The 25,896-nt window shown below is 45.8% G+C and overlaps 1 protein-coding gene across 1 annotated transcript in view; it reads right to left on the bottom strand.

The window, feature by feature from the left end:
- Positions 1 to 25,896, bottom strand: part of DHTKD1 (dehydrogenase E1 and transketolase domain containing 1) — a 54,268-nt gene that overhangs the window by 11,893 nt on the left and 16,479 nt on the right. Inside the window, exons 4-12 of the mRNA NM_018706.7 lie at positions 23,600 to 23,794; positions 22,074 to 22,343; positions 19,645 to 19,816; positions 17,058 to 17,256; positions 13,333 to 13,645; positions 11,067 to 11,151; positions 10,148 to 10,287; positions 4,933 to 5,083; positions 3,314 to 3,420 (exon numbers count right to left, since the gene is read on the bottom strand). Coding sequence (NP_061176.4) covers positions 3,314 to 3,420; positions 4,933 to 5,083; positions 10,148 to 10,287; positions 11,067 to 11,151; positions 13,333 to 13,645; positions 17,058 to 17,256; positions 19,645 to 19,816; positions 22,074 to 22,343; positions 23,600 to 23,794 — 1,632 coding nt within the window. The remainder of the gene's footprint in view (positions 1 to 3,313; positions 3,421 to 4,932; positions 5,084 to 10,147; positions 10,288 to 11,066; positions 11,152 to 13,332; positions 13,646 to 17,057; positions 17,257 to 19,644; positions 19,817 to 22,073; positions 22,344 to 23,599; positions 23,795 to 25,896) is intronic.

Genomic DNA, 25,896 nt, shown 5'->3' with positions numbered 1-25,896 from the left:
CCGGGCATCGTGGCACAAGCCTATAATCCCAGCTACTCGGGAGGCTGAGGCAGGAGAATTGCTTGAACCTGGGAGGCAGAGGTTGCAGAGAGCCAAGACTGCAGCATTGCACTACAGCCTGGGTGACAGAGCAAGACGCCATCACAAAAATAAAAGAAAACACAAAAGGAACTCTTGACACAAATTTTCCCACCAGCTACTGTCTCATTTTCTTGTTCTATTTACAGCAATACTCCTCAAAAGAGTTAAGTTGATGTTCCTCCCTTTTTTTTTTTTTTTTTTTGAGACAGGGTCTGGCTCTCTTGCCCAGGCTGGAATGCAGTGGTGCAACCTCAGCTCACTACAACCTCCGCCTCCCAGGCTCAAGTGATCCTCCCACCTCAGCCTCCCAAGTAGTGAGGATTATGGGCACGCACCACCACCCACCCAGCTAATTTTTTTAGTTTTATTTTTAGCAGAAATGGGGTCTCACCATGTTGCCCAGGCTGGTCTCAAACTCCTGAGCAAGATATCCACCCACCTTGGCCTCCCAAAGTGCTGGGATTACAGGTGTGAGCCACCATGCTAGGCCAACTTTCCTCCCTTGAATAAGTTCTGGAGATCTACTGTACAGGATGGTAACTGTAGTTAACGTATTATATACCTGAAAATTACTAAGAGGATAGATTTTAAATGTTCTCTTCCCCAAAAATGGTGAGTATGTGAGGTGACGGGTCTGGTAATTAGCTTGATTCAATCAGTTCACAATGTATAGCTGTATCAAAACATCACATTTTATACTATTCATATATACAATTGTACATTTGTCAATTAAAAATGTTTAAATAAATACACTTTCCTTTCTCTAGAATCAGGAATCAGGGGTGTCCGATCTTTTGGCTTACCTGAGCCACACCGGAAGAAGAAGAATTGTCTTGTGCCACACATAAAATACACTAACACTAACAATGGCTAATAAGGTAAAAAAAAAAAATCACAAATAATGTTTTAAGAAAGTTTATGAATTTGTATTGGACCACATTCTTTTTTCTGGAGACAGAGTCTCGCTCTGTCACCCAGGCTGGAGTGCATGGCGCAATCTCAGCTCACTGCAAGCTCCGCCTCCCAGGTTCACACCATTCCCCTGCCTCAGCCTCCCAAGTAGCTGGGACTACAGGTGCCTGCCACCGTGCCCGGCTAATTTTTTGTATTTTTAGTAGACACAGGGTTTCACCGTGTTAGCCAGGATGGTCTTCATCTCCTGACCTCATGATCCGCCCGCCTCGGCCTCCCAAAGTGCTGGGATTACAGGAGTGAGCCACCACGCCCAGCCTGTATTGGGCTACATTCAAAGCTGTTCTGAGCCGCATGTGGTCCATGGACACAGGTTGGACAAGTTGCTCTAGATAGTCCTTAATATGTCCCAGACAGACTTTTGTCCCTACCACTCCATCAAAACCGCAGTCATCAACCAACAAATGGACTCTTGATTTCTAAATTCAGTGGTTCATTCTTATGCCTCATCTATTTATTTATTTATTTATTTTTAGTAGAGACAGGGTCTCACTATGTTGCCCAAGCTGGTCTCAAACTCCTGGGCTCAAGTGATCCTCCCACCTCGGCCTCTCAAAGTGCTGGGATTACTTCACTCCTCATCTTAATTGACACTGACACTCCCTCTTCCCTGATATGTTTCCTTCGCTTGCTTTCTAAGATCTTCCTCCCACCTCACTGGTTGCTCCTTCTTCATCTCACTTCTTCTTCTTCTCTGCATCCTCTGAGGTTGGACTATCCCAGGGCCCAGAGCTCAGGCACCTTCTCTCCTCCACTGTGCTCGCTGCTTCGATGACTTCTTCCAGACTCATGACTGTCAATGTCATCTAGTGGCTGATGACTCCGAAACTGTATCCCCCACCTACTCATTTCCTCTGTTTCTTCAACAACTAGTAGTTTTGCATTTCACATGTCATGCTTTAGTTTATCTACCATTACTCTAATCTCTTTTTAAATAAAATTCTCGATGTCATCATTAATGTAACTATCCATCTATCTGTTGTTCTGTCTACCTATCTATTAAGCTATCATCTGTTTATACATTTTAGCTGCACGCATGCCAAAATCATTAACGATATGCATGCTGAAGTACTTGGGGTGACATGTATTGATATCTCTATTTATTATTTATTTATTTATTTATTTAATTTTTTGAGACAGAGTCTTTGTTGTCCAGGCTGGAGTGCAGTGGCGTGATCTCACTGCAACCTCTGCCTCCTGGGTTCAAGCGATTCTCCTGCCTCAGGCTCCCGAGTAGCTTGGATTACAGGGATGAGCCACTACACATGGCTAATTTTTGTATTTTTAGTAAAGATGGGGTTTCTCTGTGTTAGCCAGGCTGGTCTCAAACTCCTGATCTCAAGTGATCCACCTGCCTTGGTCTCCCAAAGTGCCAGGATTACAGGTGTGAGCCACTGCACCCGGCTAATGTCTCCATTTATTTTGAAATGAATCAAAACATAAGATGCATTGAAGGATACCAGAATGACAGATGAATAGATATGTGAAAAAACAAGTATAATAAAAAATAATGGTGAATTCTAGGGAGTGGGCATATGAGTATTCACAGTAAATTCTTTCCAACTTTTCTGTATATCTGAAAGTCTTCATAATAAACTATAAGGAAATAACATGCAAAAGGAGACATTTGTAATGATTCACACCAAATGAGGACAATGGCTATTTCTGGCAGGATATTTCAAATGTTTTAATAACCAGCCAGGGTTGGTGGCTCACACCTGTAATCCCAGCACTTTGGGAAGCTGAGGCGGGTAGATCACTTGAGGCCAGGAGTTTCAGACTAGCCTGGCCAACATGGAAGAACACCAATCTCTACTAAAAACACAAAAATTAGCCAGGCATGGTGGCATACGCCTGTGGTCCCAGCTACTTGGAGGGTGAGCCAGGAGAATCGCTTGAACCCAAGAGGCAGAGGTTGCAGTGAGCCAAGATCGCACCACTGCACTCCAGCCTGGGCAACAGAGCGAGACCCCATCTCAAAAAAAAATAAAAATAAAAAAGCTCTCTGGGGGATTCTGATGATCAGCCTGGTATAAGAACTGCTGATCCTGGCACAAGAGAACTTTAATTGCCATAAAACCGTGATACAATTATACCTGAGGCATTACGTTTCCAAAGAAAATTGACATTGCATCAAATCTGTTTCACTCAAATACTAAGCTGTGTTACAGTTAGGTGGGCGTTAAGCTATCCGCAGGAGGTAGAAAAGCTCTAGGAAGCAGGAAAATGATTCATTGACTCCGGAAGACGTTACCCTTACCTGCAGGAAACGCTCTATTCGACAGGATGAGTGGTCTGGCCCAGCCCCATCGTAGCCATGTGGAAGGAGGATGACGATGCCGCTTTGTAGGAGCCACTTGGCCTCTCCTGGAAAAGTACCACGTGGGGAGTAAGAGCTCTACGAAGCGGGGACAAAGTGGCCTGACACGACTCAGCTGGGGAAATCAATGTTAGTTTTCTGCCTGGCCCCCCAAAACTGCTTTCATTACATGCACCTTCTAGAACTGTTATGCTATACTTAGGGAAATGTCCATTTCATTGAATGAAAACCTATCATGGGCTAGGCACGGTGGCTCACACCTGTAATCCCAGCACTTTGGGAGGCTGAGGCGGATAGATCACTTGAGGTCAGGTGTTCGAGACCAGCCTGGCCAACATGGTGAAACCCCGTCTCTACTAAAAATACAAAAATTAGCCAGCTGTAGTGGCACATGTCTGTAGTCCCAGCTACTCGGGAGGCTGAGGTGGGAGAATCACTTGACCCCGGGAGATAGAGGTTGCAGTGTCCTGAGATCATGCCACTGCACACCAGCCTGAGGGACAGAGTGAGACACCGTCTCAAAAAAGAAAGCCATAACCTATCACGGCACAGGCCCTGGGCTTTTACGAGTGGAAGACAAACTCAAAGGGGAACGTTCCCAGCTTCCTGGACAGCACATGCCGCTCCAATACCACCGCAGGCACCACTCTTACAAGAATGGGCAGCTCCCGGCCGGGCACAGTGGCTCACACCCGTAATCCCACCACTTTGGGAGGCTGAGGTGGGTGGATCATGAGGTCAGGAGAACGAGACCATCCCGGCTGACACGGTGAAACCCCATCTCTACTAAAAATACAAAAAATTAGCCGGGCGTGGTGACCAGCGCCTATGTAGTCCCAGCTACTCGGGAGGCTGAGGCAGGAGAATCGTGCAAACCCAGTAGGCGGAGCTTGCAGTGAGCCGAGATCGCACCACTGCACTCCAGCCTGGGTGACAGAGCGAGACTCCGTCTCAAAAAAAAAAAAAAAGAAAAGAAAAAGAATGGGCAGCTCTCACAGCCCAGCTGACAACACAGGCCACTGTCTTGAAACAGGGGGTGGTGGGCACGACAGAACAGTCTCTGGACAAGTCAGAAGTCCAGGCCCTCAGGCACTTTTCTTCCTCCCAGTGAAAATGTTACAGAGAAGCATAACTATAGGAAAGATTTAAGGCAGGTATTCAAAACCCAAGAGTGGGCATCCCTGGAAAATGGGATTCAGGGTCTGGGGAGAAGACTTAGACGTTTACTTCAATTACTTCTAATTTTTACGGTGAGCAGGTACTGCTTCGGAAGCTTTCAGACACTGGAGCGGGTTTTCATGGCCCTACTGACCCCTGAGCACAGGTGCTGGGTGGCACCAGTGCTCCTGCTGAGAGAGAGCTTGGGTTTTTGTCCCAGTAACACATTAACCTGACAGTGGCCACACTCCCGTCATAACAGGGTGACCCCAACTCCCTGGAGGCGCCGCCGCACACGGGAGTCTCAAGGCAGCAGTGGCCCCTTTTCATTCATTTGTCCCCACGAGGCTGGGGCCACGCAGGGACCCCCACCTGTACCCACCCTATACGCTGACACCAACCTCCAGAGATGAATGTGTCAAAGATGATCTGGGCACCATTGAAGAAATCGCCAAACTGTGCCTCCCACAGGGGCAGTAACTTTGGGCTCTCAATGCTCATCCCATATTCAAATCCCAGGACGGCCTCTTCTGACAGTGGGCTGTTGCTGACCTAATCCCAGAGAAGAGAAGGAAACGCTGCATGTGAGGGCCACGGCAGAGCACTGGGCTCCTGCGAACTTATCGAAGGGAGGTGGTGCGGAGAGGGAGCCTTGCTCTCGTTCATCACCACATTCTTTTTGTTTGTTTGTTTCTGCTTTTTGAGACGGAGTTTCACTTTTGTTGCCCAGGCTGGAGCGCAATGGCTCCATCTCGGCTCACTGCAACCTCCGCCTCCCAGGTTCAAGTGATTCTCTTGCCTCAGCCTCCTGAGTAGCTGGGATTACAGGCACCCGCCACCATGCCCAGCTAATTTTTGTACTTTTAGTAGAAACAGGGTTTCAGCATGTTGGCCAAGCTGGTCTCAAACTCCTGAGCTCAGGTGATCCACCCACCTTGGCCCCCCAAAGTGCTGGGGTTACAGCATGAGCCACCACGCCCGGCCTCATCACCACATTCTTTTGAGAAGAGATTTGCTGCTTGGTGTCAGTGATGCAGATGAGAAAAGTTGGGACAAAGAGAGGAAAAGATAAAAGAGGCTGGAATATGGGTATTACAGAGTTTCTTCAAGGATAAGCACATATACTTCTCAGATGACCCTCTTCTGGAGCTAGGTATACAACTGCGTCTTATAAGCTTTTCAAAAACCTGTGGCCGGGCGTGGTGGCCTCCCAACAATTTGGGAGGCCGAGATGGGAGGATCGCTTGAGCACAGGAGTTTGAGATCAACATGGGCAACATGGCAAAACCCCATCTCTAAAAAAAGCAGACAAAAATTAGCTGGGCATGGTGGCACATGCCTGTAGTCCCAACTACTTGGGAGGCTGAGGTGGGAGGATCACTTGAGCCCAGGAGGTTGAAACTACAGTGAGCTATAATCGCACCACTGCACTCCAGCCTGCGTGACACAGTGAGATCCTGTCTCAAAAAAGAAAAAAATTATCATGAAACAAAGTGAGGAAAGTTAAAAAATAAAGTCCTACCTTTGGTTAAAATCATTATTCTAACATCGTATTTGCATGGTAAATCAAAAGAACCATCATGATATGTTAACATTAAAAAAAGCAGAATACAAATTTTATCTCTGAGAAGGTTAAAAAGACATTACAATTAAATGCAAAACATAATCCCAGCACTTTGGGAGGCCAAAGCAGGAGGATCACCTGAGGTCAGGAGTTCGAGACCAGCCTGGCCAACATGGTGAAACCCAGTCTCTACAAAAAATACAAAAATTAGCTGAGCATGGTGATGCAGGCCTCAAGAGGCTGAGGTGGGAGGATTGCTTGAACCTGGGAGGTGGAGGTTGCATTGAGCCGAGATTGTGCCACTGCACTCCAGCCTGGGCAACAGAGTGAGACTCTGCCTAAAAAAAAAAAAGAAAAAAAAATTGTTGATCTTGGTTTGAGAAATACATGGTAGTCATGTCTGTGTTCATTTCCTGATTTTGGTGTGTTATGATGGAGAAGGATGTCCCCCCATTTGTGGAAATACACAGTAGGGGGCACCAGGATGGCAACTAGCTCTCAGATGGTTCAAGATGGAAAAAGGGAGCTAGGAGGATCACTTGGACACAGGAGGTCGAGGCTGCAGTGAGCAGTGATTGCATCACTACACTCCAGCCTGCGTGACAGAGTGAGACCCTGTCTCAAAAGAAAAAATAAAGATGAGAAAAAGTTCCTTACTGTACACAACATTTTGGTAATTTTGTTTCTTTCAAATTTTAAAAAAATATATGTTTAAGCTACATCTTTATAGAATATTATTTTGGAATAAAAAGGAAGGACGGGCAGAGTGTGGTGGCTCACACCTGTAATCTCAGCACTTTGGGAGGCTGAGATGATCACTTGAGGTCAAAAGTTTGAGATCAGCCTGGCCAATGTGGCGAGACCCTGTCTCTGCTACAAATTCAAAAATTAGCAGGGCCTGGTGGCGCACACCTGCAGTCCCAGCTACTTGGGAGGCTGAGGTGGGAGAACCACTTTAACCTAGGAATCTGAGGTTGCAGTGAGCCGAGGTTGCGCCACTGCACTCCAGCCTGGGCAACAGAGCAAGACTTGGTCTCAAAAAAAAGAAGGATGTACTGATACATGCTGCATGCATGGATGGACCTTGAAAGCATGATGCCAAGTCAAAGAAGCCAGTCCCAAAAGGCCACATGTTATACCGTTCTAGTCACATGAAACATCCAAAATAGGCAGATCAATAGAAACAAACAGTCGATGAGTGGTGTCCAGGGGCTGGAGGGAGGAAGGAATGGGCAGTGACTGCTAACGGGCATGGGCTTGCTTTCTAGGGTAATGAAAATGTTCTAAAATTAGATAGTGGTGATGATTACACAACTCTGTGAATAGACTACAAACTGCTCAAGTGTACACACTGAGAGGTTGAATTGTATGAGTTATAGCTCAATAAAGCTTTTACTTAAAAAAATAAAAACCCTCTAGGCTGGGCACGGCAGCTCACATCTATAATCCCAGCACTTTGGGAGGCCAAGGCAGGAGGATTGCTTGAGGCCAGGAATTCAAGATGACACTGGCCATCACAGTGAGACTCCTATCTCTACAAAATATTTAAAAGTAGCCAGGCGTGGTGGTGCTTGCCTGTAGTCCCAGCTACTTGAGAGGCTGAGGCGGGACAATTGCTTGTGCCTAAGAGCTGGAGGCTACAGTGAGCTATAATTGCACTGTGGGACTCCAGCCTAGGCAACAGAGGAGGACCTGTCACATACATACACACACACACACACACACACACACACACACACACAGATTGAGATGTACAACGAAGTTGGGGGAAAAACACACCCCAAGGACCTATTCACTTATCATGAAGGCTGCCTGACCTCTGTCCCTTCCTAGAAGCCATTATTGATAAGGGAATGCTGGTCAGTTACAAAATTCAATACTATTAGACAATGAAGGCAGATCACTACTCAGGAAAATATAGCTACTCTCACTACCAAGATCAAGCAGGAGTTTCTCCCAGGGTCTTCACATAGAGGACATGGTATTAAATAATAAATTACTCTTATTATTATTTGAGACAGAGTCTTGCTCTGTTGCCCAAACTGGAGGGCAGTGGTATGATCTCCGCTCACTACCTCTGCCTCCTGGGTTCAAGCAATTCTCCTGCCTCAACCTCCTGAGTAGCTGGGATTACAGGCGTGTGCCACCATGCCCGACTAATTTTTGTATTTTTAGTAGAGACAGGGTTTCGCCATGTTGGCCAGGCCAGTGTTGAACTCCTGGCCTCAAGTGATCTGCCTGCCTTGGCCTCCCAAAGTGCTGGGATTACAGGTGTGAGCCACCGTGCCAGGTCTAAATAATAAATTAAATCTTCGGCCAGGCGTGGTGGTTCACGCCTGTAATCCCAGCACTCTGGGAGGCCAAATAATCCCAGCTACTTGGGAGGCTGAAGCAGGAGAACTGCTCCAACCCAGGAGGCAGAGGTTGCAGTGAGCCTAGATCACGCCACTGCACTCCAGCCTGGGTGACAGAGTGAGGCTCCGTCTCAAATAAATAAATGAACGAATGAATGAATGAATGAAACTAAATTAAATCTTCAACAGTATCCACAAAACAGACACAAGGCATTTAATTGGGACTTTTTCAATAGCAAAATTCAAAACTGATAATAAATATCAAAGCACAATTCAATGAAAGCCTCATCTGAGGTAGGGGAATGCTAAACATTTCAGTATCTAGTTTGGCAATCTGACTTGATCCAAGGGTAGATTTTGGACTAACTTAAAGAAAAGATGAGCTCCATATCCCTTCAGTTATCTTCCTAAAATGTGGCTTTTGCCAAGTGAATTTTCTTTTTTTTTTTTTTTTTTTGAGACAGAGTCTCGCTCTGTCACCAGGCTGGAGTGCAGTGGTGTGTTCTCGGCTCACTGCAACCTCCGCCTCCTGGGTTCAAGCGATTCTTCTGCCTCAACCTCCTGAGTAGCTGGGACTACAGATGCATGCCACCACACCCAGCTAATTTTTCTATTTTTAGTAGAGATGGGGTTTCACCATTTTGGCCAGGATGGTCTTGATCTCTTGACCGTGTGATCTGCCCACCTCAGCCTCCCGAAGTGCTGGGATTACAGGCGTGAACCACCACACCCGGCCACCAAGTGAATTTTTTATAAGGTGTCAGTAACTCAAGATGATGTTCTCAAACTAATGGCTAGAGTAGGAAAGAAGATGACATGCCACTCAACTTACCTTAAGGAATAAGTTATTTTCATAAACATCATGTGCTAGACACTTGAATAATTGTTTGAGATAAATAAATGAAAAGACTCCACTACTATCCTTAAGGCACTACAGAGGGCACAGAGGCTGCCACACAGAAATACATGGTTATATCTGGCTGGGTGCAGTGGCTCACACCTATACTTCCAGTGCTTTGGGAGGCCAAGGCAGGTGGACTGCTTGAGGCCAGGAGTTCAAGACCAGCCTGGGCAACATGGTGAAATTCCATCTACTAAAAATAAAAAAATTAGCCAGGAATGGCACCTCATTCCCGTGGTCCCAGCTACTCGGGAGGCTGAAACATGAGGATCCCCTGAGCCTGGGAGGTGGAGGTTGCAGTGAGCCAAGATGGCACCACTGCACTCCAGCCTGGGCAACAGAGCAAGATTAAGTCTCCGAAAAAAAAGAAAGAAATACACGGTTATGTGTACATTCGTCAAGCCAATCATACCTTAGGGAACAGGTAACCTTGAGGATGTGCGATTTTGCTATCCTTAAGTAGGCAAGGAATACTGACTTATCCATATCTTTGACTAACTTTAATGAATTACAGCAATATGCAGATGATAATGTCAACTTTGAGTTGACAAAACACACATTGATTTGACATTTACATGATTACAGATATGTCACCAGAAGAAGAAAGCTCCAGCCTACTCTCTAGGGGTTACTTGCATTCCAAATTGACAGACCCACCTCATCCACCCATTTAGCACTCCTTTACTTCCAAAAGTACTGAACCCAAAGTTGCCAGCACTCCTTCCTACTTGTTCTAAGAATCCTGGAAGTGTAATCGTTGGCACCTGGATTTTACAACAGCTATAGAAACATCTCACCTCTAGAAACCCCTTCTGATTTGGGTCCATATGGTTCAGGGGGATGTAGGTGTCATCCGTCTCCTGGCAAACCACGATTGCATGCCTCTGACTGAAAGTTCCACGACCAACATCTTGGCCACTTAGACGAACATTAAAACCTTAAGCAAGCAAGAAAAAAAAAGTCAGATTCCCATAAATAACCTAATAATAAGGTGTGGTGACTGTAAATTCTTATATACTGGCTTAATCCTGAGAATTTTCCTTAGGATAACAGATAGTTATTAATATATGCTGTCCAATATTCAAAAGTCTATAGTTAAGATGAGATTGCATAAGAGTGGAGAGGTATCATGTGCCCTGCAATTTTTAGAGAAAACTATCTTTCCAGTACATCCAGCACTAGCCCTTTGTTTCCCAGGCATAACTGTCCTATGTCTATACTCTGATGAAGGTTGTCAGCATGACTTATACTACAAATAAGTAATATTGTCAGGAAAGAAAAATTAACATGCTTTAGAACCTCTCTGGTCAATGAACACAATGGGAGGTAGTTATAACTCAAATAAACTGCAAAGGTAACAGGTAGCAAACGTGATTAAAAGTACTCTCTACTAGCTAGACAGAAAATTCTTACCTTGGCTGGGCACGGTGGCTCACGCCCATAATCCTAGCACTTTGGGAGGCCGAGGCGGGTGGAACACGAGGTCAAGAGTTCGAGACCAGCCTGACCAACATAGTGAAACCCCGTCTCTACTAAAAATACAAAAATTAGCTGGGCATGGTGGTGCGCCCTACTTGGGAGGCTGGGGCAGGAGAATCGCTTGAACCTGGGAGGCGGAGGTTGCAGTGAGCTGAGATCGCACCACTGCATTCCAGCCTGGGCGACAGGGTGAGACTCAAAAAAAAAAAAAACAGAAAAAAAAAAGAAAATTCTTACCTTGAGCAAGTAAAGAACCCAAGGCAAGAGCTTCCGCGGTGGCCCAGTCTAGCTTGATTCCGTCCATCATCTTCTCCATTCTGGACTGTAAAATTCAGAGGAAGAAAAAAAAGGAACGTCTAAGAGTCCATTTCCTTTTTCACAATGAGTACAAAAAATTTAATGCAGGCCAGGCATGGTGGCTCATGCCTGTAATCCCAGCACTTTGGGAGGCCCAGGCGGGTGGATCACTTGAGGTAAGGAGTTCAAGACCAGCCTGGACAACATGGTGAAACTCCATCTCTACTAAAAATACAAAAATTAGCTAGGCCTGGTGGCGTGTCTCTATGATACCAGCTACTCAGGAAGCTGAGGCAGGGAGTCACTGGAACCTGAGAGGCGGAGGTTGCAGTGAGCTGAGATGGCTCCACTACACTACAGCCTGGGCGACAGAGCAAGACTTGATCTCAAAAAAAAAAAAAAAAAAAAAGCAACGAAATTAAGCATCAAAAACAATGCTGAATAAAAACAGAGTACAAAAGGATACATTAGAGAAGGAGAGCAATTATATACAGTTTTTATTTATTTATTTTTTTCTGAGGCAGTCTCACTCTGTCACGCAGGCTAGAGTGCAGTGGCGTGATCTTGGCTGATTGCAACCTCAGCCTCCCTGGTTCAAGTGATTCTCCTGCCTCAGCCTCCTAAGTAGCTGGGACTATGGGTGCACACCACCACGCCCAGCTAATTTTTGTACTTTTTAGTGGAGAAGGGGTTTCGCCATGTTGGTCAGACTGGTCTTGAACCCCTGAACTCAAATAATCTGCCCGGCTTGGCCTCCCAAAGTTCTCAGATTACAGGAGTGAGCCACCACACCCGGCCTATATACAATTTTAAAACAGGCAAAACAAACACGTGCTTAGGTTAGTGGTTACCTCTGCGGAGGTGGGAGGAGATGGATCAAGGAGGGGTATGTGGGGAACTGTATTTATAACATCCTATTTCCTAAGCTGAGTGATGAGTACATATTAATAGTTTGTTGTAATAGTCTCTGTACCTATAATAAAAACTTAAAGTTAGTGGGTTGGTTTTTTTTTTTTAATTTCCTCTTTTTGGAGAAACAGGATCTTATTCTGTCACCCAGGCTGGAGTACAGTGGTGCAATCTCAGCTCATTGCAGGCTCGACCTTCTGGGCTCAAGCAATCCTCCCACCTCAGCCTCCTGAGGAGCTGAGACTACAGGCATGCGCCACCATGCCAGGCAAATTTTTTAATCTTTACTAGCGATAAGGTCCACTATGTTGCCCAGGCTGGTCTTGAACTTCTAGGCTCAAGCAATCCTTCCACCTTGGCCTTCCAAAGCACTGGTATTACAGATAGGAGCCACCGTGCCTGGCCAAGTTAGTGTTTGAAAATAATTCATGTTAGGCATGGTGGCTCACACCTGTAAACCCAGCACTTTGGGAGGCCAAAGTGGATGGATCAATTGAGGTCAGGAGTTCAAGACCAACCTGGCCAACATGGTGAAAACCCATCTCTACTAAAAATACAAAAATTAGCTGGGCATGGTGGCACATGCCTGTAATCCCAGCTACTCAGGAGGCTGAGGCAGGAGAATCGTTTGAACCTGGGAGGTGGAGGTTGCAGTGAGCCGAGATCACGCCACTGCACACCAGCCTGGGTGACAGAGTGAGATTCCATCCAAAAATAACATAAAATAAAATAATTTAGAGGGCAAAGTTCCTTCATCCAAGCTTAAGAAAGAAAAAGACATTTAACTCTTTGCTCTCCTTGTTTTAGCACTTAAAGTCCCACATTCCAGAAAACCCCTAAGTCCCAGGTCCACCAGGGTGGTTTGTCATCCTATAGTGATCCTAAGACAATACGTAAAACATGAGCATGTTTAGGGGGCTACCTTGGGGTATGTGTGTTGACTTTTGTTTCTTTTATTTAAGCCACCTGAAACAAAGTGTTTTCTACTCACTGGTTGGAAAAATAAAAACAGACATTCTTGTATCTCTGTATTTCTTATAGTGTGCATGTATTCCAGGTACATGTAATGTATGAACATGCATAAATAAATAAATACATGGAGGAAAAAGAAAAGAAGAGAAAATCTGAGGTAACTGACTATCAGTACCAAAACAACACTAGGATCAGTTTCTAGAACCTAACGACACACAATAAATATTTGTCAAATGAATCAGACAACTGAAAACACCAGACCAACGTCAGCTCCTTTGCTGAGCAGGAAGGAGAAGCAATAACCAGCCATTTGGAGGCTGCCCACCTGAACATGTGTCTTCAGCAGGTGACTGTGCATCTGCAGCTCTCTTGGCACCTCTACAGACTTCATGCCAACAAACCGCAGGAGGTCGAGGGGCACACCTGTACTCCAGGTGGTGATTTGCGCTTCTGGCTGAGCCAGGCCCTGCCAGTGGGCCTGCAGGTTCAGGGCAGGGGGCCTGTAGTGGGCCATGTTATTTAAGTGATCATTCAACTTGGCATAGTAGGAGGATTTTATTTCAGACACCTCCTCCTGCGTCATGAGTCCGCCAGCAATGAGGTGCTCTGCATATGTGTCTGGAATGCTCTTTCGAGCTCTGCCCAAGAAAGAGAAGAAACAAAAATCAGTCTGACCTGTAACAATCTAATAGAGACAAGGAGAGTCACTGTCAAGGGCGGTGGAGTGTCAGCACTCTAAAAAGGCATTCGACAGGTGCAGTGGCTCACACCTACAATCTTAGCATTTTGGGAGGCCAAAGTGGGTGGATCACCTGAGGTCAGGAGTTCGGGACCAGCCTGGCCAACGTGGTGAAACCCTGTCTCTACTAAAAATACAAAAAATTAGCTTGGCATGGTGGCGGGCGCCTGTAATCCCAGCTACTCAGGAGGCTGAGGCAGGAGAATTGCTTGAACCTAAGTGGTAGAGGTTGCAGTGAGCCGAGATGGCACCACTGCACTCCAGCCTAGGCAACAAAAGTGAAACTCCGTCTCAAAAACCAAATAAATAAAATTAAAAATAAATAAAAATAAAATAAAAAGGCATTCAGGAAAAATGTTTTGGAACTTGACAGAAGTGATGGTTGCACCACTTTGTGAAGGTAAATAAATGCCACTGAGTTGTTCGCATTAAGACAGCCAATTTTATATTATGTCACGTTCATCTCAATAAGTTTATAAAACAGAAACAAAATAAATAAACAATGTTAAATATAATAAATTAATTTAATAAATGAAGGCACTCATAGTAACAACCTCTTTTCCAGGCAACTGAGAGAAAACAAATTTATAAGTTTTTGTCTGCATCCAAATAGAAATAATTAACAGAGTTTTTCTATGATTTGGTAAATTCTGACAATTATTTCCAAGACTGACCCACACTGTCTATCCAATCAGCACCCCCCTTTATCTAAAAAGGTATGGAACCCAAAGTTGCTCCAGTCTGAAAGTTGCAATCTTTCAGGTTGCATCTATCATCCTTTAACTACAATCATCAACACCTGGGTGTTACAATAAATGTCACTCTACATTCATGTCATACTTTCAACTATAAAGTCTATTCACATATATTATCATATTTAATCCTGATAAAAGAGAGAAGAAAGCAGGATAGATTTTAAAGCTAACGCCCTGGGGCCAGGTGAGGAGGCTCATGCCTGCAATCCCAGAACTTTGGGAGGCCGAGACGGGCAGATGGCGAGACCAGCTTGGGTAACGCTGTGAGACCCCATCTAGTCAGGCATAGTGGCAAGCGCCTGTAGTCCCAGGTTCTCAGGAGGTGGAGGCGGGAGGATCGCTTGAGCCCAGGAAGTCGAGGCTACAGTGAGCCGTGATCATACCACTGCACTACAGCCTGGGCGACAGAGCAAGACCGTGTCTCAAAAAAATAAATAAAATAAAATAGAACCCTGAGGTTCACTGAGTCATTCAGCTGCTAAATTCAGAGCTAAACAGAACACAATTAGTTCTTCTGAGAGCAGTCCTCTTTCTGGTACCAAGGATCAGAAACGCTCATAAAACGTGTATTCCTCTGCTTTAATTTATATCTATAAGGAAATAAACTTGGAGGAGGGGAATCTATTTTATTTTCTAGTATCTAGAAAAGGAAGTTCCAAAGTAACAAATTCCCCCTCCGTCACATTAACCATCTGAATCAGCACCATGGGACAGAAATGAAATGCAAGCCATGAGTAATTTAAAATTTTCTGGCAGTCACGTTAGAAAAGATAAAAAGAAACAGGTGAAATTAATTTCTTTTCTTCTTGTTTTTTCTTTGAGACCGAGTCTCGCTCTGTCGCCCAGGCTGGAATGCAGTGGCACAATCTCAGCTCACTGCAACCTCCGCCTCCCCAGTTCAAGCGATTCTGTTGCCTCAGCCTCCCGAGTAGCTGGGACTACAGGCACGCGCCACAACGCCAGCTAATTTTTCTTTTTCTTTTCTTTTCTTTTCTTTTTTTTTTTTTTTTTTTTTGAGACGGAGTCTCGCTATGCCACCCAGGCTGGAGTGCAGTGGTGCGATCTGGGCTCACTGCAAGCTCCGCCTCCCGGGTTCACGCCATTCTCCTGCCTCAGCCTCCCGAGTAGCTGGGACTACAGGCGCCCGCCACCACGCCCGGCTAATTTTTTGTATTTTTAGTAGAGACGCGGTTTCACCGTGTTAGTCAGGATGGTCTCGATCTCCTGACCTCGTGATCCGCCCGCCTCGGCCTCCCAAAGTGCTGGGATTACAGGCGTGAGCCACCGCGCCTGGCCAAATTTTTCTATTTTTAGTAGAGATGGGGTTTCACCATGTTGGCCAGGCCGGTCTCAAACTCCTGACCTCAAGTGATCCACCCACCTTGGCCTCCCAAAGTGCTGGGATTACAGGCATAAGCCACCATGCCCGGCATTTCAATAACATATTTTATTTAAGTCAATATACTCATTATATTGTCATTTCCATATCTAATAAATTTAAAAATATTATTTTGGGTTTATATTTTACATGCTAAGTGTTTGAAATATGGTGTGTGTATTATCCTTACAGCACATTAATCAGGACTGGCCACTTTTCAAGTACTCAATAGCCACTGATGGCTAGTGGCTTCCATCTTGGACAGCATGGTTCTGAACATTCATTAGAATCTTCTGAGTTACCTCTCACCAAGGTGCCAGGCAGGTCTGCAGCTATGGTTTGTAGAAATGAATCACTGAGGTTCTATTTCTGGTCCTGCCGACACTGCAGTAAATAGATTTGGGCGAGGTTTGCTTAATTCCCCCTGCTTCAATCTTCCCATCTGCTGAGTTTTCTATTGCCCTTTTTCTATTCAATGAGGAACCATGTCAAGTGTGAAGAGTATGGGAGGCCAGGCACGGTGGCTCATGCCTGTAATCCTAGCACTTTGGGAGGCTAAGGCAGGTGGATCACTTGAGACCGGGAGTTTGAGACCAGCCTAGCCAACATGGCGAAACCCCTGTCTGTACTAAAAATACAAAGATTAGCCAGGCGTGGTGATGCATACCTGTAATCCCAGCTACTCAGGAAGCTGAGGCACAAGAATTGCAATTGCTTGAACCCAGGAGGCAGAGGTTGCAGTGAGCCAAGACTGTGCCACCTGCACTCCAGCCCAGAACTGTGTCAGCTTTAGCTCTTAAAGTTTCATGTCCTGCCTGGGCATGGTGGCTCATGCCTGTAATCCCAGCACTTTGGGAGGGCGAGGCAGGCAGATCACCTGAGGTCAGGAGTTTGACATCAGCCTGGCCAACATGGCAAAACTCCATCTCTACTAAAAAGTATGAAAACTAGCCAGGCACGGTGGCACACGCCTGTAATCCCAGCTACTCGGGAGGTTGAGGCAAGAGGATCACTTGAGGCAGGAGGATCATTTGAACCCGGGAGGTGGAGATGGCAGTGAGCCAAGATCGTGCTACTGCATTCCAGACTGGGTGACAAAGCAAGACTCCATCTCAAAAGAATAATAATAGTAATTTTAATTTTTAGGGGGCATATCACACAAGGGTTTATAATTGTACCTGATGATTTTGTACATGATGGGGTTGGTGTAGAATGGCTCATCCAGCTCATTGTGGCCCCACTGCCTGTAGCACAACAGATCAATAATCACATCCTTGCGGAACTGGCGTTGGTATTCAAAAGCCAGTCGTGTGGCACGGACCACTTCCTCTGGGCTGTCTCCATTGACATGGATGATGGCACAGCCCACAAGCTTCCCTGAAGGACAGAAGACCAAGCCGAAACAGGACAGTTAACCCAGAATGACACTGGCCCTCTCTAAGCCCTACTTCCTGCATCAAAAGACAGCCCAATCCTCACAGGTAGATATTGGTTTGGTTAACAACCCCAGCTTTGGAGACCAGCTGGCAAGTTCCAACTCTGGGACTTATTGTGTGACCTCGGTAAAGCTACAAATCTCAACCTACTTATCTATAAATCGGGAATGGGGCTCCTACCTCTTAGTGATGTTGCAAAGGTTCGATGAGTGAATGCACAAACAATTGTAATGCCTAACAGTGCCTGGTACATAGTAGTTAATATTTATTTTGTTACTGTTATTATCATTACTCTCTTTCTCCCTGAGATAAAAGGGTCATTAAAGGATGTACCTTAGAAAAAGATAAATTTGCTCCAAAGAATCTTCATCAGACTAATCATAAAGGATTCACATAGACAAGCCCAAGAGGCATCCAGTCCAGGCTGTTTGTATAAAAGGAGAATAGTTGCTACCATCAAACAGCCTTGTAAACTGTGAAACTGGGAATGGGTAATAACAGCACTGTCTTTATCTTAAGATGACCAATTTCAGCCTGGCACAGTGGTTCACGCCTGTAATCTCAGCAGTTTGGAAGGCTGAAGAGGGATCACACAAGACCAGAGGTTCAAGACCAGCCTGGGCAACACAGTGACTCAATCTCTACAAAAATTATTTTAAAAATTAGCTGTGGCCAGGTGCAGTGGCTCACGCCTATAATCCCAGCACTCTGGGAGGCTGAGGCAGGTGAATTACCTGAGGTCAGGAGTTTGAGACCAGCCTGACCAACATGGTGAAACCCCGTCTCTACTAAAAACACAAAATTTAGCTGGGTGTGGTGGTGGACACCTGTAGTCCCAGCTACTCGGGAGGCTGAGGCAGGAGAATTGCTTGAACCCGGGAGGTGCAAGTTGTGGTGAACCGAGATGGCGCCATTGCACTGCAGCGTGGGCAACAAGAGCGAAACTCCATCTCAAAAAAAAAAAAAAATTAGCTGTGCATGGTGGCATGTGTCTGTAAATCGCAGCTACTAAGGAGGCTGAGGAGGGAGGATCTCTTGAGCCAGGGATGTCAAGGCTGCAGTGAGCCATGATTGTACCACTGCACTCCAGTCTGAGTAACAGAGCAAGACTCTCAAAACAACAACAACAACAAAAAAACCTACCAATTTCCACAGATAAAAAAGAAGCTGACTTTGATTCTTCACATCTTATTTCTTTTTTTTGCCCTTTGAGATGGAGTTTCGCTCTTGTTGCCCACGCTGTAGTGCAATGGCCTGATCTTGGCTCACTGCAACCTCCGCCTCCCAGGTTCAAGTGATTCTCCTGTCTCAGCCTCCCGAGTAGCTGGGATTACAGGCATGCACCACCATGCCCAGCTAATTTTGTGTTTTTATTAGAGACGGGGTTTCTCTATGTTGGTCAGGCTGGTCTCGAACTCCCAAGCTCAGATGATCCACCTGCCTTAGCCTCCCAAAGTGCTGGGATTACAGACGTGAGCCACTGTGCCCAGCCTTCACATCTTATTTCTAACTATACTATTTCACCAAGTTTAGTGGTTGAACACATCCCTTATCACTAAGCCCCTGGGCACTCCAAGTTTGAATATCCTAGAGATAACAACTCTGGTGTTGTACTCATTGTGTTGATCTCTGACTTGTACCAGATCACCCATCCAGTTATAAGAAATTTGAGATGGCACACTGTGGCTCCATCCTTGTCTTATTTCTTTGGATTTAAAAATCACACTGATAGGCTGGGCATGGTGGCTCACGCCTTTAATCCCAGCACTTTGGGAGGCCTAAGCAGGCAGATCACCAGAGGTCAGGAGTTCAAGACCAGCCTGCCAACATGGTGAAACCCCGTCTCTACTAAAAATACAAAAATTAGACAGGTGTGGTGGTGTACACCTGTAGTCCCAACTACTTGGGAGGCTGAGGCATGAGAATCACTTGAACCTGAAAGGCGGAGGTTGCAGTAAGCCGAGATCACGTACTCCAGCATGGAGTACAAGCTGGAAAGGGCAACAGAGCAAGACTCCATCTAAAAAAAAAAAAAAAAAAAATTAGCCAGACATGGTGGTGCACGCATGTGGTCCCAGCTAATCAGGAGGCTGAGGCAAGAGAATCACTTGAACTCGGGAGGCAGAAGTTGCAGTGAGCCAAGATCGTGCTGCTGCACTACAGGCTGGGTGACAGAGCAAGACTCCATCTCAAAAAATTAATTAATTAATTAATTAATTAAATGAAAGGAGGGATAACCAGTGAGGCTCATTGTTCTGTGTGCACCAGAGGTTTCCCTAGGAATTCCATGTCGGCTTCAGCAATATCAGTTCCTCCCTGTGTTACGTACCAATATCACTGCAGTATAAAGAAGACCTTCCTCTTTCAGCTGGAGTGGTGTAACCCAGCTGGTTATTAACAATCAAATGCACACTCCCACCAATTCTGAAATGTGGGAGATTGGACAGCGTGAATGTTTCAGGAACAATCCCTTGACCACAGAAAGAAGCATCACCATGGACCTAAATCATGAGGCAAGGGGAGCGGGTGGGGAGAAAAGAAACATAAGGGATTAAGAAATCTAGGTTTTCAGGTTGGAATAACTTTTTTTTTTTTTTTTTTTGAGACAGAGTCTTGCTCTTTCGCCCAGGCTGGAGTGAAATGGCACGATCTCAGCTCACTGCATCCTCTGCCTCCCGGGTTCAAGTGATTCTCCTGCCTCAGCTTCCCTAGTAGCTGGGATTATAGGCATGCACCACCACACCCGGCTAATTTTTTGTATTTTTAGTAGAGGCGGGGTTTCACCATGTTGGTCAGGCTGGTCTCAAACTTCTGACCTCAGGTGATCCACCCTCCTTGGCCTCCCAAAGTGCTGGGATTACAGGCATGAGCCACAGCGACCAGCCTCATTTATCATCATTTTAAAGAAAATGGCCTTTTCACCTTTTATTTCAGAAGTCAATCTTTTTTTGTTTTTTTTTGAGACGGAGTCTCGCTCTGTTGCCCAGGCGGGAGTGCGGTGGCGCAATCTCGGCTCACTGCAAGCTCCGCCTCCGGGGTTCACGCCATTCTCCTGCCTCAGCCTCCCGAGTAGCTGGGACTACAGGCGCCCGCCACCACAATCTTAAGATCAGCTCAATGTACTGGGTAAAAATGAAGGATTAAAATAGAGTATTATAAATTATGTGAAAGGTAAACAGAATGTCTGGCTAATGATTTCAAGATTTCTATTTAGAAACACCCTATCAGGCCAGGTGCAGTGGTTCACACCTGTAATATCTACACTTTGGGAGGCCAAGGCAGGAGGGTTGCTTGAAGCTAGGAATTTGAAACCAGCTTGGCCAACCCAGCAAGATCATGTCTCCACAAAATAAAATAAAATAAATCAGCCAGGTATGATGGCATGCACCTGTAGGCCCAGCTACTTGGGAGGCTGAGACAGGAAGATTGCTTGAGCCTAGGCATTTGAGCCTACAGTGAGCTATGATTGCACCATTGCACTCCTGCCTGGACAAAAGATTGAGAACCCATCTTGAAAGAAAGAGAGAGAAAGAAGAAGGAAGGAAGGAAGGAAGGAAGGAAGGAAGGAAGGAAGGAAGGAAGGAAAAAGGAAGGAAGGAAGGAAAAAAGGAAGGAAGGAAGGAAAAAAGGAAGGAAGGAAGGAAGGGAGGGAGGGCCGGCCATATCATAATGAAATCCAATTCTGCCTACTCCCAATTTATTCACTACAAGTTTCTGGCCTGTGAAAAATTAAAATGCATAGGATAACGTGGCATTTACAAACATAGAATATTTGATTGCCTTATATATTTATCTATTTCTGTGGAATTTGAAGACTGATTCTGAAATCCAGGTTTCATGATCTCCTGTAGTTAAAGGTTCATATTTAAATGAATACTCACAGAAGAAACATGACCACAGCCCAAACCTCTAAAAGATACTTGTTGTGTTACCAAAAACTGGGAGACAGGGTAGAAAAAGAACGAACCACACTGATAATTTGTGTTATGTGCCTTAATACCAAAGACTTTCATTTTCAAATAAACAAGCAAAAAAAAAAAATAGGCTAGGTATAGTGGCTCATGCCTGTAATCTCAGCACTTTGGGAGGCTGAGGTGGGAGGATCACTTGAGGTCAGGAGTTTGAGACCAGGCTGGCCAACATGGTGAAACCCTGTCTCTACTAAAAATACAAAAATTAGCTGGGCGTGGTGGCACGTGCCTGTAGTCCCAGCTACTCGGGAGGCTGAGGCAGGAGAATCACTTGAACCCAGGAGGCAGAGGTTGCAGTGAGCTGAGATTTCGCCACTGCACTCCAGCCTGAGTGACAGAGTGAGACTCGGTCTCAAAAAAAAAGCCATAAAAAAGAAAAGATAATAAAGTAAACAAGAAACGAAGTAAAACCACACTTAAAGTCTTTTTTTTTTTCACGCTTGTCTTGTTATATGTATGGGAACCACAAAGTTTCCAAGAAGGCCATACTTCCAGAGAGATAATGACATCTGTGCTCTAAGAAGGAGCAGGTTTGCCAGCCCAAACCCCAAGTTAATTCATAAGCCATGCAAGGAAAACAGAAGTGGAAGCCCCAGGCTAAAGCCAGTTGCCTGAAGACTAAACCTCATGAATCTCCTGTTAGTTTTTAAAACAATCCCAGAATCTTTTTCCAAAAGGTCATCTCAGTTTCATCATGAATGTCTGCCATGTGCTTTCAGCCCTCCCAACCCACACATTCTTCCCAGTTTTCCCCACCTCTGGCCTCAATTTCAGAAGCTCCAAGTACCTGTAAGCAAATGACCCTGTCCCCCGGCTGGGCTGAGTTGTCTGGAGAGTAATCGCCGTCTTGGCGAGACTGCTGCCTGCCGCGAGTTTTGCCCACGGCCACGGGGTTGACGGCCTCCAGGTGCGAGGGATTGGGCAACATTGTCACATGGAGGGGATGGTGCGCCCCAAAGTACAGGTCCACAGAGGAGGTCAGGTGAGACAGGACGTCTCCAGTGGCTGAGAAATTCTCTGGAAATTCACTTAAGCCTCGCATTTTACGGAACATCAGCTATTGTGGATACATTCAAAAGGAAAAAAATGGCATTCATCACAATGGAGTCTAGGGAAGAAGTGCTGAGTTGAAATCATACAACAAAAAAGAAAATTTAAAGCCAGGAGTGGTGGCTTATGCCTGTAATTCCAGCACTTTGGGAGGCTGAGACGGGAAGATCACTTGAGGTCAGGAGTTCGGGACCAGCCTGGCCAACATGGTGAAACCCCGTCTCTATTAAAAATACAAAAAATTAGTTGGGTGTGGTGGCAGGTACCTGTAATCCCAGCTAGTAGAGAGGCTGAGGCATAAGAATCACTTGAACCTGGGAGGCGGAGGTTGCAGTGAGCCGAGATCACGCCACTGCACTCCAGCCTGGGTGACAGAGCGAGATTAGGTCTCAATAAATAAATAAGTAAGTATACATGGAAAACCAATCCAAATACCAACTCTGTCAATTAACTAAACTGTCTAAGCTACCTCCTGGACCAACTGCTCATATGCTTAGTTGCCTTTCCTCTTTTTTTTTTTTAAGACAGGATCTGGCTCTGTCTTCCAGGCTGGAGGGCAGTGGCACAGTCTCAGCTCACTGCAGCCTCCATCTCCTGGACTCAAGAGATCCTCCCATCCCAGCCTCCCAAGTAGCTGGAACCATAGGTGCACCACCTAATTTTCATGTTTGTAGAGACCATGCCACCTAATTTTTATTTTTGTAGGGACAGAGTTTTGCGAGGTTACCCATGGTCTTGAACTCCTGGGCTCAAGCACTCCTCTTGCCTTAGCCTCCCAAAGTGCTGGGATTGCAGGTATGAGCCACCTTGCCCAGCCTTAGTTGACTTCCTAAAATGAATGATCACCATGAGTTTTACTTTTTAAAAATTTATTTATATTCAGGCAGCATCTTGCTTTGTTGCCCAGCCTGGAGTGCAGTGGTGAGATCATAGCTCACTGCAGCCTCAAACTCCTGGGCTCAAGTGATCCTCTGGCCTCAGTCTCCTGAGTAGCTGGGAACACGGGTGCGTGCCACCATGCTTGGCTAACTTATTTTATTTTTGGTAGAGACAAAGTCTCACTTTGTTCCACAGGGTGGTCTCAAACTCCTAGATTCAAGCCATCCTCCTGCCTCATCCTCCCAACAGGCTGGGATTGCAGGTGTGAGCCACAGTGCCCGGCCATCACCATCACCATCATTTATCACCAGAATGAAACCAGCAGTTTTATTCTGTTACAATCAATCATATAGTGCTACTGAGAAACACAGCGAGTAACCTTACCTCTGGAGGGAACTGCAGAAGGCCTGTCAATAAATTCAGCCTCCCTCTATGGGGCATCCCAATAATGACATCAGTGATCCCGCTGTAGGCCGACATTTTCAGCAGCTCGTGGAAAAAGCCCATCATGCTTTCAGCCCCTTCGCCTCCATATCGCTTCACTGTCGAGAACTTGGTGGCCAGAAAGTGGTCAAACTCCTGCAGAACATCATGTCAGACGTGAGCTGCCAGGAGACAGCCAGCTTCTCCAGTGGAAGGCAGATAAGTCTGTGTGTGTTGTGAGATGGCCCCACACTCCCCAAGTGGCCACAGCAATGCCACTTTACTACATATCCCGGAGAGAGACATAACACGGACACAGCGGGATGGTTTTCCTAGGATCCGGGACAGTAGGAGGGGCTGAGGAGAATAACCTGAGCGGCAGAATAACTCACCCCAAGGAAACCCCCTTAGAATGTGTGTTCTTCTGGACTGGAATCCAGGCCTTAGATTTCTGCTGCCTCTTCCCAGTACCCCAGTTTTCACACGGGGCTCTACGGTATGAATCAAGGCTGCAAACTATCCAACTACCCAAACTATTAGGAAGGGGCTTCTTGCCATCTTGACATTCCAGAGTCCTGGTCACAGCCCCAGCAGAGGTTCAGTTCCATTCATTTGTACTGAGCCTGTCTTCCACATGTCATCTTTTGATCATCTCAGATTAAGTTCTGAACTTAAGTATCTTTAGTTCTTAAGAAGTAAGACCAGGCCAGGCATGGTGGTTCACGTCTGTAATCCCAGCACTTCGGGAGGCCAAGGCAGGTGGATCACTTGAGGCCAGGAGTTTGAGACTTGGCCAACATGGTGAAACCCCGTCTCTACTGAAAATCTAAAAATTAGCCGGGTGTGGTGGTGTGCACCTGTAATCCCAGCTACTCAGGAGGCTGAGGCAGGAGAATTGCTTGAGTCCAGGAGGCGGAGGTTGCAGTGAGCCGAGATCGTGCCACTGCACTCCAACCTGGGTGACAGAGCAAGACTGTCTCAAGAACTGCAACTGTACATAGCCCTGAATGGTGACAGTATGTCCTGTTACCAAAAGACTTTTTTTTCTCACATATTAAAAGAAATTTTAGGCCAGTCACGGTGGCTGATGCCTTAATCCCAGCACTTTGGGAGGCCGAGGTGGGCAGATCATGAGGTCAGGAGATCGAGACCATCCTGGCTAACACATTTTAGGCTGGGCGCGGTGGCTCATGCCTGTAATCCCAGCACTTTGGAAGGCTGATGGGAGTGAATCACGAGGTCAGGAGATCGAGACCATCCTGACTAACACAGTGAAACCCCGTTCTACTAAAAATACAAAAAATTAGCCAGGCATCATGGCATGCACCTGTAGTCCCAGCTACTTGGGAGGCTGAGGCAGGAGAATGGCTTGAACCTGGGAGGCAGAGGTTACAGTGAGCTGAGATCATACCACTGCACTCCAGCCTGGGCGACAGGGAGAATCCATCTCAAAAAAAAAAAAAAGAAAAGAAAACAAAAGAAAAATAAATTTTAAATAAATTTTTAAAAAATTTTGTTTAAAAGGCCAGGTGTGGTGGCTCACGCCTGTAATCCTAGCATTTTGGGAGGCCGAGGCGGGTGGATCATGAAGTCAGGAGATCGAGACCATCTTGGCCAACATGATGAAACCCCGTCTCTACTAAAAATACAAAAATTAGCTGGGTGTGGTGGCACGTGCCTGTAATCCCAGCTACTTGGGCGACAGGGCAAGACTCCATCTCAAAAAAATAAAAATAAAATAAATAAATAAAACCTTAAGAACTATGTTTTTTTATTTTTTTGGACAGAGTCTTGCTCTGTTGCCCAGACTGGAGTACAGTGGTGCAATCTTAGCTCACTGCAGTGGTGTGATCTCGGCTCGCTGCAACCTCCGCCTCCTGGGTTCAAGAGATTCTCCTGCCTCAGCTTCCCAAGTAGTTGGGACCACAGGTATGCTCCACCACATCAGGCTAATTTTTTGTATTTTGTTTTTTTAGTAGACACGGGGTTTCACCATGTTGGCCTGGCTGGTATCAAACTCCTGACCTCAAGCAATACGCCCACCTAAGCCTCCCAAAGGGCTGGGATGACAGGCGCGAGCCACTGTGCCCAGTCAGAAGTAAGGTCTTAAGTAAGTCTTAAGTAAGGTCTTTTATAGAGTGAGTAGACACATACACGAGAAGTATTTTGACTCTGAGGAGAGCCAATAGGTCAATATTTTGGCAACCAACATTTTGCTACTTAGAATAAAGTGATATGCTCAGAACAAGGATCTCTGA

This window comes from Homo sapiens, chromosome 10, assembly GCF_000001405.40.
Source record: "Homo sapiens chromosome 10, GRCh38.p14 Primary Assembly".
NCBI classification, from domain to species: domain Eukaryota; kingdom Metazoa; phylum Chordata; class Mammalia; order Primates; family Hominidae; genus Homo; species Homo sapiens.
The sequence above is the reverse complement of the archived record's forward strand: the minus strand, read 5'-3'. Positions and strand labels throughout refer to the sequence as shown.